The following is a 22,811-nucleotide window of genomic DNA, read 5'->3' on the forward strand; positions in this document are numbered from 1 at the left end:
AGAGAGAATGAGGGAGACCTCCCTCCCATTTTTTCTCTTTTTCCTGAATTCACTCACCCATACCCCAGGCAGTCTGAAGCAGGAACATGGGCAGCAGCAAAATGGCTCACAGTGGGAAGCAGTAAGAACCACAATCCCAAGGGAAGGGAATATTCCTCTAATCATAGTGGAGCTCTGGCTACAGAGAGCCAAGATAAACCCTGTTGATTTCCTTCTTGTCTGTCCTCCCAGCTCAAAACATGGTACAATAGGAAAAGTGTGTAGTTTCTGACCACATGATGGAAAAGTAGAGCCCACAAATCCAGAAAGGACCTAGGAGATAATGGAGATAGAAAAGCCTTCCCATCAAATGTTATGGGGTGGGGGGAGGGGGAGGGCTAGCATTAGGAGATATGCCTAATGTAAATGATGAGTTAATGAGTGCAGCACACCAACATGGCACACGTATACATATGTAACAAACCTGCACATTGTGCACATTTACCCTAGAACTTAAAGTATAATAATAATAAATAAATAAATAAATAAATATATAGTGCTTTATAAACTTCTGGGATCTCTCCTGAGCTGCCTGTGTGCTGATCTGATCCTAATTAACATTATCATACGAAAGAATTGGAGAACTGAGCTCATAGATAGAACTCTGCTTTGGGCCCGGACTGAACAGTGGGTAGCCCTCCCGCTGCACTGACTCAAGAAGCACTTCAAAAGCTTTGGATGCATTGTGACCATAGCCTCCAGATGGATAAAACAAATTATCTCTCTAGAGAATATCAACATTATTTATAAATAATACCTCAATCCCTTTGTAAAGTCAAGGTAGCACAAGAGAGATGGATTAAAGGGTACAGTGGAGGCCGGGCATGGTGGCTCACACCTGTAATCCCAGCACTTTGGGAGGCTGAGGCAGGTGGATCACGAGGTCAGGAGTTCGAGACCAGCCTGGCCAAGATAGTGAAACCCCATCTCTACTAAAAATACAAAAATTAGTCAGGAGTGGTAGCACACGCCTATAATCCTAGCTACTTGGGAGGCTGAGGCAGAATTGCTTGAACCCAGGAGGCGGAGGTTGCAGTGAACTAAGATCATGCCATTGCACTCCAGCCTGGGCAACAAGAGCAAAACTCCGTCTAAAAAAAAAAAAAAAAGGGGGGAGGGAACAGGGCTCTAATGGAAGTAGTCATTCTTAAGTTAATTACCAAGTCAAGGACTATCTCTCAATGTTTAGTGCTTTAAGAAAACTTTCATCAGGTACTAGATCTATTACCTATGCGTATGGGAAAGGTGACATTTGATCCCTGCTTTGAATATAAAATAAATTCTAGGAGGAAAGGTAAAAACAATGAAATATCTAGAAGGTAATGTAGGAATTATTCTTCATAACATTAGAATATAGAATGGATTCTTAAAGAGGACACATAAAATACTATAACAAAATTAGACTACAAAAAAACCTAACACTTTTTCTTATCGAAAGACACCATTAGCATTATGACGAGTCAAGTCACACAGTAGTACGAAATATTTGCAAACTGTATAAAAGCCAAAGGCCTTATATTCACACTATGTAACTCATATAAATCAATTAAGAATAGTCTGAAAACTCCTTTCTCCAAAAATGACAATAGACTGACATACACTTCACAAAAGAAGACATCCAAGTGTCCAACAAAATATGCAAGAGTGCTCAACTTAATTTTTATCTGGGAATTCAAATTAAAACCACAATGTAATACCATTATATACCTACTACAGTGGATAAAAAGAAAAAGACAAATAATACCAAATGTTGGAGAGGATGCAGAACTATTCATACTTTTAGTACACTAGAAATTGATGTAATGGCTTTGAAAACAAGTTGACATTATATTCTAAAGTTGAATTTACATATACTCTGTGGCCCAACAATTCCAAGTCATCAAAGTCATGTGAACCATATTTATAGAAGCATGTTTTACATGCCCCAAACTGGGAATAATCAAAATACCCAAAAATAATAGAATGGAAAAATATACTCATATAATGTGGAGCAATGGGAAAATAAAACGATTGCCAAAGGATCAAAATAGGTAACACGAACATAGTGTTGAATGATAGAGACAGAAACAAAAAAAATACTATAGTGTTATATTTGTAAAAAATTTAGCAATAGACAAGACTGAAGTATGGCATTAAAAATAAATGTGATAGTTCCTTTTGAGAAGGAGAGAATGAATTAAGTTCTGTTTCTTCAAGCTGGTGGTTTCAAGGGTATATTGTCTTTGTGATAATTTATTGAGCTATATACTTAGGGTTTCTCTATTGTGTTATACATTAATGATTTAGGAAAGGTTTTCAAAATAATTAAAATTTTTGTCCTAACTATATGGTTTTAAAAGATGTGCTTCAAAAAACATTTAATGTAGGAAGAAACACTGTATACATTGTCCTTTGTCACTTTTTGTTGCAAGTTTGGAAGAATAAGGTATTATCCAAGTAGGCTACTTGTAATAGGACTTACCCAGGAAGATTTTCCTTATTAGATATTAGTCTTTCTAATATGCCATCAGATGAGGCTTGAGACTACTCCATTTTCTGTAGAGTTTTAGGAAAAAATTTAAGAGTGACTAAAGATGCTCTGTAGCCTCAAAATCTGTTACAGATTTTGAGGTTCTGTTACAGAACCGTGGCAGGGAGGTTAATTTAGGTACTCTTCTATAAATTTTTCATAAATGATATCTAGTAGATTTTATTCTTTCCCAGCCTTCATTTAACTCCCTCCACGTGGCTGTGTAGCAAACCATCCAATTTAAATGGGATTTATCTCTCACTAGCTTCATGATTGTGCCAATGCCATTTATTGCATCGTCAATGTTTGGTAAGGAGTGGGCATGTATAATAGTGTATTATACAAGCCTTGGAACTGCTGCGTTCATTTTTGTTCCTAAGAATTAAAGAAGCCTGAAAATAAAGTTGGTGCGTAGTGTTATGCATAGTCCAGAGAATCATAAGAAAATGTAGCTAGGACCCTGATCAGACCAAACCTGGAACTTTTCTTCCTTTGGACTTTGGGAAGTGTCTTAGTGTGCTTGGGCTGCCATAACAAAATAACACAGACTAAGTGGGTTAAACAATAGAAATGTATTATCTCCCAGTTCCAGAGGGTAGACAGTTCAAGATCAGGGTACCAGTTGTTGGTTTCTGGTAAAACCTCTCTTCCTGGCTCTGCAAATGGCTGCCTTCACACTGTGTACTCACATGGCCTTTCCTCCATGCATGCAGGAAGAGAGGGAGAGTATGCAAGTTCTTTGGTGTCTCTCCTTTAAGGACATTAATTATATCAGATCAGAATCCCATGTTTATAAACTTCATTTAAACCTAATTATGTCCTAAAGGCCCTGTCTTCAAATACAGCCACACTGGGGGGTTAGGGCTTTAACATATGAATTTGAGAACACAATTCAGTTCATACCAGGGAGTGTAAACTTCATGTAGATCTCTTCTTTATACCAGTTTGAGTTAGGTTTTCTGTTACTTGCATTTGAAATAATCTTAACTAATAGTGCTCCTAAGGTACAGTAACTCTTGCTTAACAACCCTCAGAAGTTTGACCAATTTATTCTATGCGTGTATTATTTACCACATTCAGCCACTGGGCTTTTGATTTTTCATCTTTTTCAAACTGATGACTTGAACATATAAGCAATTTTTTCTTTTTAATATTCATATTTTTATTGCATTTTAAGTTAGAAGTGTATTCTGTTAATATGTTCGTTTGTAAGAAAAAATCCTTTAAATGTCATGAAGGTATAAAATTGAAAGATAGTTTGTGGAATAACAGTTATTAGGAGGTAAATTTCTTCATTTCAACACAATTTCCCTGTTTCTAACATTTTTCAGTGAAATATAATAATATGCCCAAACCATCTTTTAAAATATGTACTTAAGACTTGACATTTATGATCAGTTAACCTCAAATTGCTATAAAATAGCGACAATATTATCTCTTTTTACAATTGGCCAACTAGATTACCACCAGAGGGTATTTATTTGTCACAGCAACCTGCATTACAATGTAACGTTATAGCACACTATGTTACTTATATTGAATTCTTTTAATTTTCCCTAAATGAGATTACCTAATAAGTTCCATTTTTTTACATTAAGAATCCTTTCAAAATGACCATTTTATGAATAATAAAATCAAGTTATTGAAATATCTCTCCCTAAGTTTTTATGCTTCCCTTTTTTATTCCTGTAGCTGATATACTTGCTTTTTAATGTTTGTTTTCTTTCTTTCTTTCTTTGTTCTTTTTACTCCCTATTTCCTTTGGGTGGATTGTACTGAGGGGTGTTGAACCTTTCAGATCTTTTGATATTATTATCGTACAGCATATTTTTTTTTGAAAAAGAAAGCCCAATTATTCCCCCATCAATATCTATATCATGGAGCATAAAAGCTTTTGCATAATGTGATAGGAAAAGAAGACCTGAAAGAAAGCAGTAGATACTTATTTTTTCTGTGACAAATTTGCCACAGTACCAAATTAAAACATACTAGTGTTCAATGATACCCATTAAACCCTTTGATTTAAGAGATAGAGAAAAGCTAACTGGAATACACAAACCTACAAATATGTCACTTAACATAATAAAAGTTTACAATGCTTCTGTGTCACATCAAGTCCAGTGGGCAAAAAAGGAGCCAGTGGAAGGTGTAGTAGGCTGTTCTTGCAATGCTATAAAAAATATCTGAGTCTGGATAAATTATAAAGAAAAGAGTTTAATTGGCTCATGGTTCTGCAGGCTTTACAGGAAGGATGGTGCTGGCATCTGCTCAACTTCTAGAGCAGCCTCAGGAAGTTTACAATCATGGTAGAAGGTGAAGGGGGGGCAGGCTTGTCACATGGCGAAAGCAGGAACAAGCAAGAGAGTTAAGGAAGGAGAAGTGCCACACATTTTTAAATGACCAGATCTTAGGAGAACTCACTCACTATTGTGAAGTCAGCATCAAGCCATGAAGGATCTTTTCCCCTGACCCGAATACCAGGCCCCACCTCCAACACTGGGATTACAATTCAACCTGAGATTTGAGTTGGGACAAATATCCAAACTATATCAGAAGGGATAGCATGGAATACAGGACACTGCTTCACATGGTCATTTAAGAAATTCAGATGATGGAAATTCTGTCATTCTTCAGGTGTCCAAGATTGTCAATAAAGACGGAGACTCTCTAGTAGTCACCAAAGGAAGAATATAACTTTTTAACTATGCTGAATAAATATGACAAATATTTATTGTTTGCCTGTTTGTTTTGCTTTTTAGCAAAGCAAGTGTTCTTAAACTGTTTTTTGTTTGTATGTATATTTTTTAAGAGAACTGTCACTTTTGTTTGCAATGTAATTTATTAGAAATCAAGAACATTTATAAAGTATTACCCTATATAAGGATAATAATGCCAAATGAGACATTCAGTATTAGAAAAAATGATGTTATTCAAATCAATTTAAAAACCAATTTAGGGAGGCTGAGGCAGGAGAATGGCGTGAACCCGGGAGGCGGAGCTTGCACTGAGCCAAGATCACGCCACTGCACTCCAGCCTGGGTGACAGAGCGAGACTCCGTATCAAAAAAAAAAAAAAAAAAAAAAAGAAAAATCATTTATTTAGCAAAAATGTATTGACACCTACTATCTCCCAAGTAGTAACATATATTTTACTGGATTTTTGATATTTACTGGAGATTATGAGAATATTATTTTAAAAATATTTTCTTACACTGTTTATTGATTTTAGTAGCCAAGTTTCTACGTCACGTTAGCTCTTTTACTGCTAACCTAATAGGAATTACCATAGAAAGCATCTGACACAAACCCTTAAAGTGTATAACTCCTTGTTTCAAGAAAGTGAGATTATGAAAATTGTATATTTTATGTTGTCCTTATACATCATTACAAAAACGATAATCAGTTGAGTCATAAAGTTTAGATAAGAAAGAATTTAAGCTCCTCATGAGAAATTCAACTAGTATTCCCGTCTCAAACTGAATCTTTATTATGTAACTCTTAAGGAAGAGGAATGTTGTGAATTATTAATCATATAAAAATACATTTTGGTATTTAAGTTGTATCTACTGAATATAAGTAACTTTTCTATATACACTATTATTTGCTACGACAGATTTTCTGAAAGAAACTGTTGACAGGATCTGGTATCTGGATGTAAGGGATGATATAATTGAAATGTAAATTGTTTTTAACATTTTAGCTGGAAAGTAATGGTGAAACAGAGAAGTCAGGGGAAAGGGAAGAACTTGCAATTTAATACTTTGAACCTTAGACAGTTTACTTCAACTCTCTGTGACTTAGCTTTCCCATGTTTTAAATGAACACATGACAGTATGCTTGATCTATCACCTGTAATTTTAGGAATTAAACAGGTAATTCATGTAAAACACTCAGCATAGTGCTTGGTACATATTACTCAATAGATGTTAGTTGCTTTTCTAATCATGAACATTATTAATGGTTCAGCTTGGACATGGTAGGTTTGAGGTGATATTAATATTTGTATCACAGTTCTTAAGGGTATGATGGTCTGACTGAAATTCAGAAAAATGAACCCTTAGATCATATCTAAAGTGTCCATTCTCAGTACCATATTTTAAGAGTTACATTGGCCAGGTGCGGTGGCTCACACCTGTAATCCCAGCACTTTGGGAGGCTGAGGAGGGCAGATCATGAGGTCAGGAGATCGAGACTATCCTGGCCAACATGGTGTAACCCCGTCTCTACTAAAAATACAAAACAAATTAAGTGGGCGTGGTGGCGCACATCTGTAGTCCCAGCTACTCAGGAGGCTGAGGCAGGAGAGTTGCTTGAACCCGGGAGGCAGAGGCTGCAGTGAGGCTGAGATCACCCCACTGCACTCCAGCCTGGGCAACAGAGTGAGACTCTGTCTCAAAAAAAAAAAAAAGTTACACTATTATTCCAGGTATAACAAGAGAAGTATAACCACTATGATAATAATTCAGACTAGAGAAGGGTTCCTCAACCTTGGCAATATTAGCATTCTGGGCTAGGAAAATGCTGTTGGAAGGGCGACCTATATATTGTATGATATTTAAGTAACATCCCACTAGATGCCTGTCAAGTGATGAAACCCAAAAATGTCTCTAGATACACTGCCAGATATCGCCTGGAGAACAAAAACATTCCTGGTTGAGAAACACTGTACTTGAGGCAATCCTGCATACAAGAAAACCTGTATATTCTTTAAATATATAAAGAAGTTTTAGCATACAGCAGACTGATTTTGTTTAACCTAGAAGGCAGACACAGCACTGGTTGATAAAAGTTAGAATATTGGCCAGGTGTGGTGGCTCATGCCTATAATTTCAGCACTTTGGAAGGCCGAGGCCGGCAGATCACCTGAGGTCATGAGTTCGAGTGCAGCCTGGCCAACATGGTGAAACCCCATCTCTACTAAAAATACAAAAAAATTAGCTGAGGTGGTGGCATGCACCTGTAATCCTAGCTACTCAGGAGGCTGAGGTGGGAGAATTGCTGAAATCTGGAAGGCAGAGGTTGCAGTGAGCCAAGATTGTGCCACTACACTTCAGCCTGGGTGACAGAGTGAGACTCCATCTCAAAAAAAAAATATATATATATATATATAAATATATATTTTCAAAATTTGAATTAACTAGAAAGAGAATGCACTAACTTGTCAGTCAGCAACTTCTCAGCTACAATGAGTATTTAATTAGGTGCTGGATCACTATCAGAGCTGTACTGGGAATTTCCTTCCTGGGAGGGACTTGAAACTAAGAAATCTTTTATAGCCCTTTCAAGGATAAGATGCTCTCATTTTGACAGGTGTAAAGATGCAGATTTGGAAATCATTTAAATTGAGGTCGTAGTTGAAATCAGGAAAATAACTGAGCTTTCTCTTTGGGGGCAAGAGAAAAGAAGAGCACAATTGCATGAAGTGAATTTTAAGGAATATCCGTAATTTAAAAGAGGGAATTTGGAATGTAACCTATATTCATTTAACCTATATTAGGTTAGGAAGTATTAAGGAAAACAAAACAAAACAAAATGAAAGAAAGTATTCAGGAGAGAGTTTTAAAGAATGAATGATTGGTATTGTCAATTGAGAAGTTAAAGTCTGATAATAGAGAAAGCACCAGTTTATACAATTTCTAGAAAATCATGGTGACTTTCTGTTGAAAGCAAATTCTGAGAAAAGTGTCCCCTAAAATATTGAATATTACATAAAGGGTGCTATGTTAAAAAATCACTTGTATGGTTGGAAAGGTTAGTATCACTGACTTTTTAAAAAATAGATTTCCTTTGATTCTGGAGGCGGGATTAGAGAATGGATATGGAAACAGAGTGATTATGGGATGGATAGTGGGCACACTTAGAGCTGCCAGCATATGGAAAGGAAAAAAGTTTGAGGCTTAAGTAGCTGGATTTGTATTTTGGTACTACGACTTAGTCCGTGTGGGACTATAAGCAATTAACTTCAAAATCTCTGAGGACTGGATTCCTCTTTTCTCAAATAAGAATAGTATATACTATCTTGAAGGATTTCTAAGACTAAATCCAATCATCGATGTGACGTACTAGCACAGCATCTGGAATGTGCGCAGCACTCAATGGATAGATGTTAAAATTGACATTGTTGTTATCGTTGTCATTGAAGGATATTCTAAGGTCTTCTGCTTCAAATGAGGCATAGGCAAGGAGAAAAAATATATTGAAGACTTGACAAGAGTGGAAAGTGTCAAAAATTGCCACTGCTTATGAGTGACTTAAGTGATGAACACAATGATTAAGGATGAGAACCAGGTTTTTCTTGTAATGTCCAGTGACCAGCGAATTTGTAGTGTCCCAGGTCTGTTCACTTCTGGGTCTTCTCATAGCATAATCTATGACCACAGAGCAAAGAAAGGGAAAATAAACAGTGATACAGGGTTGAGATTGATTAATGAGATTCATGTAAATCTCTGTCATTTTGAGATTTGTCAGGCTTGAGTTACTTCTAACAAAGTACCCTGCATTATCATAGTTTATTGCATATAGTACCTAATATATTAGACCACATGTATGAACATTGTAACTGACTTATTTCTTAAAGTAAACATTAGCATATGCCAGGGTTTCTCAGCCTCGGTACTACTGACATTTTGTATTGCTGATCCTTTGCTGTTGGGGACAGTCTTGTGCATTGTAGAATTCTTGCAACACCCCTGCACTCCTCTCCCAGTTCTGACAAACAAAAATGTCTCTAGACATTGCCAAATGATTGCCAAAAGGGTTGGGAACCAAAGGTTATTTTGGTTATTTAATATGTTCATACATAAAGGTTATTTAATATGTTCATATATAATATGTTCAGATGTAATTTAATATGTTCATATATAAAGGTTATTTAATATGTTCATATATAAAATAGTGATAAAAATAATATAAATGTACATGTGTGACGTTTGGATTTATAAAATTTCCATATTTTATAACTCATAATAGCAATTCTAAATAGATTTTGGTTGTGATTTCTGTTGCTTCATAAGACCAATGTAATTATAAATTTACATTCCTTCTGACAGAGAAAATTCTAAATATTGACCATAATCTATAGCAAGAAATATAAATATTTTTTCTACCTGTACATTTTGGTTTTGAGAGAACATTTTAAGCATTGGAAATTTATCATATTTTTGATTGTTTACCTAGACAAAGTTATTACTTATATATATATGTATTTGAGTCTTTCATGTACTGTTTTTTCATTACATAGTTCAAATAAGTTTTGAGCAAAAATTATTTGTGTTTTATTTTCCAGTTGTTTCCTATCCTTATTGCTGGTGGCTGCTGTGGTATGGAAGATCAAACAAACTTGTTGGGCTTCTCGACGGAGAGAGGTATCAGTAATATTATTTAATCTTTTGTTTAAAGATTTAAGCAAATATATGGATCTCTATTGTCTGTTAATTACCATGCTCTCTTGGAATGCAGAATTTCAAATCATTTTTACATACTAATATTCAAAAATCACTCTAGTATTTTTTAAGCTGTAGAGCAAACTTTATCACTGTAATTTTAAGTTAGTATTTGTAAAAGCATTGGTTTGTTGCAAACAGTTTCTAAAAATGGTATTGGAATTTATAGTGAATACAATTATTATGTTTAAAAAATTTTGTAATATATTTAACAGGCATTTAGTTATGCTATAAAGACATACTTTATTTTTCATAAGCGTCTGTTGAAATTTAAAATTCTGAGTGATAAATATTTATTTTTGGTTTTTGAAAAATATTTTATCTCCTAGAAATTTATTATAACATTCTTTTTTTGGGAATCAAATCTTTTCCATTTTCTGATTATCTAATAATCCAACTCTGTTTAAAGAGCACATCCATTGGATAAATTTCTGTATTAGAATTATTTTTCTCGTAATCCTAAAATTGATGAAAACAATAATATTCTTACAAAATAACAACTGATTATATAAATTGTGTATATTCGTTAATCGAAAGGAACGAAGAAACAAAATCATCTGAGGAGCAAAAGTATGCAGTAGATTTATTGTTCATACCTCATTTATTCAAAAAACTAGTTTCTGTTTTTATCAGTATTCTTTTATTATAATGTATTCTATTGTATTAATCTTAATATTTTATTTGCTATTGCATTTCTCCATATATTTCTATATGGATGGTTTTTGTAACAATATAAAACAACAGTATAATTGCTTACCTTCTTTTTTCCACATAAAAAATATAATATTTAAAGACATGTAAAAATAATCCAGAGTGTTCTAAGCTATAGAATTAGTGAGTGATATGGGTTCTTCTTAGTCTATTTTTAAGCACCCATCAAAGATCAGTACTATCTATAATATATTTGCAAACTGGAGTCCCTCCCTGTCTTCAAATAAATCATTCATCTTAATACTCTCTGCCTCTCTGATTTTCTGTTTATGGCCAGTGCAGCATCAGTGAGGGTTTACTTGGAATGACTGTATGTTAAAAAGTAATCCCATGGAAAAAGAGCTTATTAAATATAAATATATAACTATTAGGCAGGAAGTGGAATTCTCTGCAGAGGTAAACAATCTTCTAGACATGTTAGATGATCTATTACAGTAAAATTATAGATTCAGGAAGGAAAAATCATAATTATAGGCAGGTAGTGTGAAGGCCTTCCTTCCCTAATGGAATAAGGCAAGTGACAATTTATGTCCTTAATCATTAGAAGAGAAGGCTGAATCAATCAGGGAGCCTCTGTTCCCATTGCATCCTGAGGAGCACTATTTAAATATCTGATCTCTAAAATTTATAAAATGCATCTATGTAAATATAGCATTGTGAAAATATCAATTTGTAAGTAAAAAATATCTGCCATTAACTGGCAGCTGAATGTAAGTAAGTTGTCTAGTTAAATTTCCTTACCTCTTAAAAGAAGGATTTGTACCCTAGAGCTAATTCTCAGTTGTGGTCTAGTCTTTTGAGCCCTATAAATGTTTACATGTAGTAGCTAAAGTTTAGAAATGATATTTAATATTTGTTAAAACTAATATGAATAGTTTAGCTATAAAACTTTCATACTTCTCAAAATGACAAATTGATTTTGGCTAATATTGTATTATCTCAGTGTAGTAATGCTGTTTATTACATACTAATCAGGTGCTCTGGCAAGTTGATACTACTTCAATTTTTAAAATATAGATATAAATTTATCTTTTGGAAGTCAAAATCTTTCAATATATGTGGTAGATGTGGAAAGGATAAAAGACAAATAGTAGAGGGGAGCTAGATTAGGATCACTTTCCAGTTTTTATCTGTATTATTAATATTACTGTGTTCTCTGGAAATTCCTTTAATATAATGCCCTTCTTTCCAAAACTCATCCAGGTAGTGCTTCTTTCTATTAAAGTGTATAATAGTGTTTGCATTTAATTTGCTACTGCTTCCGAAAAAGAAAATGTATCTTGAGGGTTTATGTTATGCTATAGCATTACATGTTAAAACATATTTTGAGGAATTTTCTGAAATTTAATTTTACTAAATTCCTTTAAATGTAAAATTCTAAATGTTATAGAAACTATTCATATATTGATGTCCAAAGTAAAGATGACATTGTCTTTGATGATTATTAAAGATCTGCAATTAGCAAGTAATTTTAATATTACAATTGTCCCCCCTTATCCATAGTTTCAGTTAGTCAAAGACAATTGCAGTCCAAAACTATTAAGATATTTTGAGAGAAAGAAATGGTGGGGGAGGTGGGAAGTGACAGAGAGAGAGAGACCACATTCACATAAATTTTAGGACAGCATATTATTATAATTGTTCTATTTCATTATTATTGTGGTTAATCTCTTGCTGTACCTAATTTATAAATTAAAATTTATCATTGGTATGTATGTATAGGGAAAAACATAGTATATATAGGGCTTAGTAGTATCCACAGTTTTAGGCATCCTCTGGGTGTGTTGAAACATATTTAAAGGGGAACTACTGTGTTAAGAAATTGTTTTTCATTTTGGTCTTAAGAGCCCTGGAGATTTTTAACCACACTAGTTGTAGTTATGTGATAATTCCATTTATAGACTTTATGTGAGTGGAGGTAAAAATGTGTTTATATCTAATCCTCTCTTTATTCAGTTTTAAATATTAGATTAACTGTAATATTTCCCAAAGGAAAAGAACCCACTATTATTTCTTTATGTGAATGTTACTGTCTCTTCAAAACATTGAAGAAATCAATTATTGTAAAGCTCAGAGGACACCTTTGATTAGTAAAATGACAGTTTATCTGTTACAGTAAATGAAAGTTACTTAAAGGATTCTTCTTAGAAATTATGTAGTTTTATTTCAGCAGTTATACTAGTTGCTTTTCTAAATGTAATGAAAGTTTAAAATGAAAATAATCTTTGGAAATGTTTTAATATATTGTGTTCATTCAACTAGATGTGTTACTTTTTAAACCAAAGTTTTGTTTTCTCATAAACATAGATATACTTTTTGTGGCATAATTTTAAATTCAGAGGATAGTTAGTCATGTTATGACTTTTGAATAACACCCCTGAGAATTCAGGGGCTCTTAAACACACATTAAAAAAATGAAACTACACACAAAAGGCTTCAATTTTGATATGACCCCTTCATACACTAACCCCAAACAAATTTCTGTGGTGTTAAAAAGATGAAAACTTTCTTTTGGGATGCGCTAATGAATGGAAACAATAAGTGTATATTGATAAGTGGAAATATTTACACTAGAAAGATGAATTCATTTATATAGCTTGTCCTTTTTACAGCGGTATTAAAAACATTTAGCTTCAATGGCACATTCAGTTATAGTCATCACATTACTGAAATATTTGTCAGGAGCAAGTATATGTAAAAAGGAGTCTATTGAGCTATTTTTATGCTTGATAATCTTCATTCTTAATCTGAAATTTGAATATTAATAGGTATCATAAGGCAGAAAAATATGAAGATATTATAATTGTTCCCTGCAATGAAGATATTTGATCATATATTTGGCTATCGTGTGAAAATATGATGCATATTTTAATAGTTACAAGAAGTTAATTTTTTTCCATTTTGAGTTGTTTAAATGTAGCATGTCTCTGTGAAACTTTAACTGCAAAATCTGTAGAATAATAGATCCATAGGCAAAGGAAGGGTTATTTTTACATTAACTTCATATTACTAGTGAGTCTGAGTATTTGAATAATCTCTACATTTCATGTGATAGCAATTTTTCCATTTTTAATTCTTGTAAATTTACAGTTTTTTTAAGTTTAAAAATATTTTAATGTAGAACTTTACCACACTACTTTTTAATATTTCTCACATATTACACTTCTCTTCTGCTTCAAAATGAATACAGGAAATTTTGGAGGATAAGACATGCCCAATGAGGGATTGAATTTATGTTCATAATACCCTATCTCCCTGCATATTTTGTAATCATGAAGAATAAAACTTAGATTTGCATTTTTTATTATCACCCTGAAATTTGAGTTAAAAATAATAAACCAATACCCACAAGTAGAATTTTAGTAGCTTTGAGTAACAAACTGGTTTTCCAGAGGCAAATACATTAGTTCTTTCCTTCTATACCTGTTTTACTGGTACAAATCCAGACAAAAGTAATAATATTAAACTGTACTTTAATAATGACATTTTATGGTGTATAAACCAATTAGTTATAAAATATTCTCTGACGCAGTGATAAATAGATTCTCATCTAAGTAATATTAATGCAATGTAGCAGTGTTTTATAAATTAAACTACTCTTTTCTCCTTAGACACTAAATATATTTACAGAAAGAAGATTCGGCACAGAATAAAAACATTAAGGAAAATGTGAAAGTGTTATTTTAGGTGGATAAATTCAAATTAACTGATAAGGTACTGCCTGCAACCTTTTGTAGAATTTCATAGCACTTCAAAGTTCTGTATTTTGTAAATGTTTAAACATTTTAACATATAGATAAAGCTTTCCATTAAACACATGCTTTTTAAAACTCGTTAGTAAATATTTCACTCAAATAAATGCCTTTGCAGTTAATGGCCACAATGTCAACTTACTGTTGCTTGTCATTTGCTTTTTATTGAATTGCAAACTAAAATGATTATTATTGTATTAATTTTCTTCCTTTATCCTATGAGACTAGAAATTACAGGTCTTCCGCATGCCTATTGCATTATCATACTTTCAAAATTTTAACATAAATTTACTTTAAAATAACTTGAGAAGTCAAATATGTATGCAGTTAAGATTTGAAAAATAACTGATACTTACCTTGTAAACCTGTTTCCAAAGACTTCATGGTAAATATAGTGCTTTCATTTTGCTCAGTTCAACAAAGGTGTATCAATTTCTTGCTATATTATAGACAAATTGATAAATACTGAGGATATAAAGAAAAAGATATAGGCCCCATTATTGGGGAATTTGTAGTTTTAAAACATTTCAATAAGGCAGACACACACACACACATACACGTGCAAAGTTCTTAGGGGAGCACCTGGATTTACTTTATTGTGATGTCATGCATAGGGAGATAGAATATATCGAAAAGTTTTCTGGAAGTCAGATTAGTAATGGAAGTAAATGTGAACTGTTTCATAATTATACACAGGATTAATTTCAAAAAAACCCCTAAACAAAAAAACTTTGGGCACTGTTTTTACTGTATATACAATACAACAAATTTGTCTAAAATCACTTTTTCTTTATTATATGCTATTATCTTTATATTTAGACCCAGTTACTTAGACTAAAACATTATATTGATTTATTCTAAAAAATGTAGTCTCGCTAACCACAAAATCTTATCTGTATTATATATTCAAACGAATGTATATCTCGATATATGTGTCTGATGTTTATGTGTGTATATGTGTTTTTATGCTAAAAAGTTCATTTTTTATCTAAAATGCAAACTTAACCAAGTGTTCTGTATTCTTATTTGCTCAATCTGGCAACCCTATTTTCAACACAAATGCTCACCCTGGAGCTCAGGGGTGGGTTCAACCTCATAAAATCCACAGGAACTCAGAGAGAAGTAGAAAGGAATAATTTTCTAAAGTTAGAATCTTGATTTGTTTTCAAAATAAGGGGGAGTTATACTGGGCAAGCAAAAATAAAAGATGTTTACTCCGTATATTATCTATCAAAATTAAAAACTCTTTGACTCAATGGTTAGATTTCTGAAAATATATCTTAAAGATATATATCTGCCTAGCTTTTCAAAGTATACTCATATATAGACACTTACAGAGAGATTTTTGTATATCAGAACTATTTCATATCATTCAAAAAGATTCGAGAAAGAAATTCTGTGTTCTTACAGTGGGATATTAGGTAACTGAAAAAAAGAATGAGGCATATTTGTGTTAATATTAAATTAGTTTATTCCTTCAACAAATATTTATTGAACAACTATTGTTGTTTCAAGCACATTTTTAGACAAATACAGCAATGAACAAGCCAAATAAAATCCCAGCCCTCAAAAATGTTTACAGATCTTAAAATCTATATTATTAACTGGAAAATATATGACATAGTTTGTATGATGTTTCTATTTGTATAAATCACACATGCACAAGCATAATGTGCATGGAAATTGTGGGTCTGTTGGTATTTGATAAAGAAGATTGACTGTGTTATTTGATAACTATAATATAAACAAATAGTCAAATAATGGGCAAGTTGAGAGAACATGATCTAACATTTTAAGTTAGGCACTTAATAAAAATAGTATTTAATTTTCACACTAAAAATATATATATTTGCCCTTTACCTATATAAGGAATTTGTGGAGACTAGAGTGCAATGCTCAAAGCTTACAACTAGTAAAAGAAGAAGCTGTAACTTAAAACCAAGTCTGTCAGACCGAACCATACAGAGAACTTTAGAGATAGCCTGAGTTTGAACAAGTTGGTTTCATAATGGACCACTTATAATGTAACTTATGCATCTGTTTGTTGTACTGGAAATATGTTATATTTCATCTGATATTATGACACAATCATTATTTGATGTACCACTTACGAAGAAAACACAGTACTTATTCAACTATTGCACAATGTTCACTTCCCACTCAGAATATTTATTTTCTACTTATTGAAAGAGCTCTTATATGATTATTTAGATATAATTTTGTCATATGTCATTCATATTTATACAGAGAGGAAAATAAAAGCAAAATAAATTGGGTAAAGTTTTGCTACGACTTATTCACCTTCATAGTCCAAGTTTTTAAAAATCACTTTTTGAGTTAAGCAAAAATATATTGTATGTTTCACATAGTATCATTGACTAGAATAATGAAGTTTATGTCTGTGCAGACAATGAAAACTACATCACAACTGTCATCTGGCCAGCAGTGATTATATAATGTCATTGATTTTAAAACACATTAGAGTTTAGAGATATTAAAATGTGAAAAAATGTTTCTTAGAATCAATCAAATATGGTAGAACCTTCTTTATAAGGTGTTTAGTACTAAGCGAATTAATGCATACTAAGGGGTTACCCCACTGCATTTTACCTAACAGACTTCAATAAATATTAGCTGTTATTGATATGTAATATAAAGAATGATCAGCATTATACATTAATATTACTAACAACAACTCCTGTATATCTTGGACTCCTCCTCCATTTCTACTGTAATGCAATGGTTCTCAATCTAGTAGGCCCTTGAGAATCACCTGTGGATCTTTAAAATGTGTGTGTGCGTGTGTGTATCTGTGTGTATGTGTGTATTTGCATGCCATTCTACTGTTCCATCCCCATCAGATATACAAAATCAGAATTTCTGTGAGTGAGGCTCAGCCAAGTGTGTTTATTATTAAAGCCCTCAAATGTTCTAATATGCACTATTGGCCTAGAAACACTGCTTTAGCTTCTACTCTGACAGAGCTGGGAAACTGTAGAAGGGTTTCCAACAAACTTGTAAAGATATCTGAGTTAAAAGGATCTGATTTTAAGCTGATCACTGTGCTTCTGTGTTCACTCCAAGTAAAATTGGTTTATGGAGAGGAGTTAAATTTTTAATGTTAAGTTTGGTACATCTACTAGACATCTAATTAGATCTATCGAAGAGGCAGGAGTTGCATCTGGCATGAGGAAACAGAGCTGAGTAGGAAGCTAAATTTGGGAATCTCAGCACATAGATGGCATTTGAAACCCTGAGCCTAGATAAAATTACCCAGAGAGGAGGATTAAGCCCTGAGACATTCAAATTTAAGAAGTCAGAGAGAAGACAAGCACCCAGCATGAATACTGGAAAGCAGCTACCAATGAAGGTGGAGAAAAACCCTGAGCTTCTGGAAGCCAAGGAAACACTGTATAAAAAGGAACAGAGTTATCAGTTGTCTAAAAAATTCTGGTGGTTCAAGTGAAATAACTGAAAATTGACCATTGTATTTAGCCACTTAGAAATCATTGCTGACCCCAACAACAGCAATTTTAGTGGACTGATGGATGCAAAAGTTTGACTGAAGTTTGATGAGAAAGAATGGAACAAGATGACTTCCAGAATGGCAGCAAGAGGATCCCCTGAGACCTATTCTCCAGACAAACAACGCTAACTAGTGAAAAAATCTTTAAAAAACAAACAACCGACTGGGCACAGTGGCTCATGCCTGTAATCCCGACACTTTGAGAGGCCGAGGCTGGCGGATCATGAGGTCAAGAGATCGAGACCATCCTGGCGAACATGGTGAAACCCCATCTCTGCTAAAAATACAAGAATTAGCCGGGTGTGGTGGTGCACGCCTGTAGTCCCAAGTACTTGGGAGGCTGAGGCAGGAGAATTGCTTGAACCCAGGAGGCAGAGGTTGCAGTGAGCCGAGATCCTGCCACTGCACTCCAGCCTGGCGACAGAGCAAGACTCCATCTCAAAAACAAAAAAACAAAAAAACAAAAAAAAAAAACCATTTAAAATACCTGGAAATAGTTTTAAGTGCATACGGAAAACAAAGAAACACTTGTTACTGGTGGAGGGTCTTGAGTATGAGTTGCCCGGGTCCTTGGAGATTTGGACAAAGTATTGAACAAAATGCACAAAGTAGCAGAGGAATGAAATGCAGCAAAGAAGCAGCAAAAGCAGAAACTTATTAAAGAGAGAAAGCACTCCACAGAGTGGGAGGAGGCCTGAGCAAGCTGGTCAAGGGCCTGGATGCAAAGTTTTCTGGGTTTTAAGTACCCAATTTGAGGTTCTTATTGGCTACCCCTTATCTGGAAGAAGGTTTTGTCTGTGGCTAAAGGCTGAGGTGAATTGGCAGCCCATGCAGATAAAGGGATGGTCCCTGCTCGGCCTGTGGCCTATCCAAGGCACTCTCCCTTTCCATCTGAGATGTGGCGGAAGGGGGAGGGCTGTAGGGAGAGTAGCTTTTGATCCTTTGTTACTCAGCTTGGGGAGAGGGTTCTTTTTTTCTTTTTGGTTTAGTTTTAGGAAGTTTGTATTAATTGGCCTCAGGTTCCCTGCCCCCAAACCTAGGCGTTTTCCTTTTGATCCAGCTTTGGGAAGTCAGCATGAATTGGCCCTAGATTTTCTGCCCCCAGACCTTGGTGTTTTCTGTTTTAGAAATTTGCTCAAATTGGCCTTAAGTTCCCTGTCTGCAGACCCTATTTTCCTGCCTCAAACTTATTTAAGAAAATCTACTAATTCTCAGTAAGAACAGCAAATCTATAGCATTTGAGCCTCAACTTGCTCCCTTCCTACCCCCTTCTAGCTCACTGTGACTAGCACTTCTCATCCCCCCAGCTCCCTTTTGCAGATGCTATATTCCAGACAAAATCAGCTGAGGCCTGAGGCTCTCTTCTTCTAATGAGCCCCACTTGTATGGCAAGAAGCTCTTCTCAAGGCATAGCAGCCTGATAATAACAGGGACCCAGTCTCCCTCTCTCCACCTTGCTTATAGGGCAGAAATTTCATGACTGGCGAGATAATATGAGAATATAAAAAAGTAACACCTCTGCTCAACACCCTGCTCATGAAGCAGGAACATTATTTAAGAGAGTTATGGGCCACTGTCCCCATCATTAGCTCTAGAGCTTGCACAAACTAGCAAAATCAATTCAAAAAGATAAAATCTAAATAAACCTATAGCAAGCACAGAGATTGCATTTGTTATTTTTAAATTTCCAATTAGATACATCAACATTCTGTTTGCAACAAGCACATCTAGCACCCAGATCTTGTTTTCTAATATTAGAGAACTCTTTCCAGTGGTTCCTCCATTCCTGACATACTCTCATTCTTGGTGTTTGTGTGTGTGTGTGTGTGTGTGTGTGTGTGCGCGCGCGCACGCACGCACATGCGCAACCCTTCTTACGTTTTGGTACCATAAGAAACTTCAGGTTTAGCTTGTACACTTCTTGCCCCAGTCCTAGAATTAGCTATTTCTCCAAGGATCTCTGGTTCCCTTTATTTTAGCATACATATTGCCTAGATCTTGATTTCTAAATACCATTCACCAATAAAAGGAGCTTGGATGCAAATCACATGAGAATCTCAATAGATATAGAGAAAGCATTTGACAAAGTCCAACAACCTTTTACCATAACAACACCCAACAAATTAGGAATGAAAAGGAAATCCTCAACCTGATAAAAGGCATCTGCCAATAACCCACATCTGGCATCATACTTAACTTTTTTTAAATCACTTATATCAGGAACAAGTCAAGGATGTCCACTCTCTCTAATTCTATTCAACATTTTACTGTATATAGTAGTCAGAGCAGTTAGGCAAAGAAATGACATAAGAGCCATCTAGATTGGGAAGAAAGAAGTAAAGCTATCTCTATTTGCAAATAACATGTTTTGTAAATAAAATTCTTTAGAAATCCACTAAAAAACCTGTTAGAACTAATACACAATTTTAGCAAGGTTCAGGATGCCAGAGCAATATAAAAATCAGTTGTATTTCTATACATTAGCAATGAAAAACCTGAAAGTAAAACTAAAAACGAATTCAATTCAAAATAGCATCAATAAGAATAAAATACACAGGAACAAACTTAACAAAAGCAGTAGAAAACATATGCTATGTGTATTAGTCCATATTCACACTGCTAATAAAGACATACCCAAGACTGGGTAATTTGTAAAGAAAAGAGGCTTAATTGACTCTCAGTTCCACATGGCTGGGGAGGCCTCACAATCATGGCAGAAGGTGAATGAAACTTATTCACTATCATGAGAACAGTATGGGAGAGACCCTCCCCATGATTCAGTTACCTTCCACTGGGTCCCTGCTATGACAGGTGGGAATTATGGGAGCTACAATGCAAGATGAGATTTGGGTGGGGACACAGCAAAACCATATCACTCTGAAAACTATAAAACATTGTTGAAAGAAATTAAAGAAGACCTAAATAAATGGAAAGATACTATATGTTGATGGATTCAAAGACTTTATGTTGTTAAGATGACAGTACTCCCAAACTTATCTACAAATTCAACATGATACTTATCCAAATACTAGGTAGTTTATTTGTAGAAATTGACAAGTAGATCCTAAAATCCACAGGGAGAGGCAAAGGGCCCTAAACAGCAAAAACATTCTTGAAAAAGAACAAAGCTTACACTTCATAAATTCAAACTTACTATGCAAGTATAGTAATCAAGATGGTGTGATATGGACATAAGACTGGACATTTGGATCCATAGAATGTAACTGAGAATCTAGAAATAAACTCTTACATTTATAGTTGATTGATTTTTACAAGGGTACCAAGACAATTAAATGGAAGAAAGATTCATCTTTGCAACAAATGGGGCTAGGCAACTGGGTAGCCACAAGCAAAAGAGTGAAGTTGGACCCATTACTCGTATCACCATACACAAATAAAGTCAATAGGAATCGATACACCAATATGTGACACCTAAACTATAAAACTCTTAGAAGAAAATACAGAAGAAAATCTTCTTGATCTTTCAGAATCTTCTTAGACATGACATCAAAAGAAAAGGTGATTAAAGAAAAAAAAATTGGAATTCATTGAAATTAAAAACTTTTGTGCTTAAAAGACACCATGAAGAAAATGAAAATACAACCTCCAGAATGGGAGAACACTTTTGCATATCATATATCTGATAAGATATTTGTATCTACATATGCAAAGGACTCTTCCAAGTCAGTAATCAAAAGGCAAATTACCCACTTAAAAATGTATAAAGAATTTGAGTAGGCATTTCTCCATATAATATATGCAGTTTGCCCTTTGTATTCATGGTTTCCACATCTGTGGATTCACTCAAGGATTGAAAATATTCTGAAAAAATGTTGAAAAATATAACAATAAATATAAATAAAAATACATTATAACAACTATTTACATAACATTTGCATTGTATTGGGCACTATAAGTAATCTAGAAATGATATAAATGGGAAAATGTGCATAGGTTATATGCCACTATGACACCATTTTTAAACAATTTACTTGAGCATCTCTGGATTTTGGTATCCTTGCGGGGATCCTGGAACCAATCTCCTGCAGATACCGAGGGACAACTCTGTGTGTGTGTGTGTGTGTGGGTGTGTGTGTGTGGGTGTGTGTGTGTGTGTGTGTTTGTGTGGTCAGTAACTCATGAAAATGAAAAGATGCTCAACAATGTTAGCATTAGCAGAAATAGAAATCAAACCTACAATAAGATACCACTAAATGCTTGTGATCGATAATAATGTTATTATTATTCACCAATAATCATCACCAATTATCACCAAAATGTTGGTGAGGCTGTGGAGAAATTAGATTCCTCACACATTGTTGTTGAATATTTAAAACTGACACTTTGTAGTGTAATACACTCTGACAATTCCTTGCAATATTAATGTTTCCATATGACCCAGCAATTCCACTCTTAGGTGAATACTGAAGAAAAATGAAAACGTAGGTCTATATAAAACTTTTACGTTAATGTTTATAGCACCATTATTCATTACAGCTTTAAAGTAGAAATATCCCAAATGCCTAACAACTGATGAATGGACAAATAAAAGGTGATATATGTGTAAATGGAATATTATTCTACATTAAAAAGGAATGAAGTACTGATGCATGTTATAACAAAGAAAGATCCTTGAAAACATTAGGCAAATCTAAAGAGACAGTAAGTAAATTCACGGTTGCCTTGTGCTGTGCTTGGGTATTTGATGGAATGTGGGGCCAGATGGAGAATGATTGTTAATGGGTACATGGGTTCTTTCTGGGATGATGAAAATGTTTTAAAATTAGACTGTGGTAATTGTTGTACAGCTTTATGAAAAATTTAAATATTAT

The 22,811-nt window shown here is 34.1% G+C and overlaps 1 protein-coding gene across 9 annotated transcripts in view; it reads left to right on the plus strand.

The window, feature by feature from the left end:
- Positions 1 to 22,811, plus strand: part of ATRNL1 (attractin like 1) — an 855,635-nt gene that overhangs the window by 446,260 nt on the left and 386,564 nt on the right. For all 9 annotated transcript variants that reach the window (NM_207303.4, XM_011539587.2, XM_011539588.3 and 6 more), the window contains one exon: positions 9,834 to 9,912. In NM_207303.4, the coding sequence (NP_997186.1) occupies positions 9,834 to 9,912 (79 nt within the window). The remainder of the gene's footprint in view (positions 1 to 9,833; positions 9,913 to 22,811) is intronic.

The sequence above is a fragment of the Homo sapiens genome, chromosome 10, assembly GCF_000001405.40.
Source record: "Homo sapiens chromosome 10, GRCh38.p14 Primary Assembly".
NCBI lineage: Eukaryota > Metazoa > Chordata > Mammalia > Primates > Hominidae > Homo > Homo sapiens.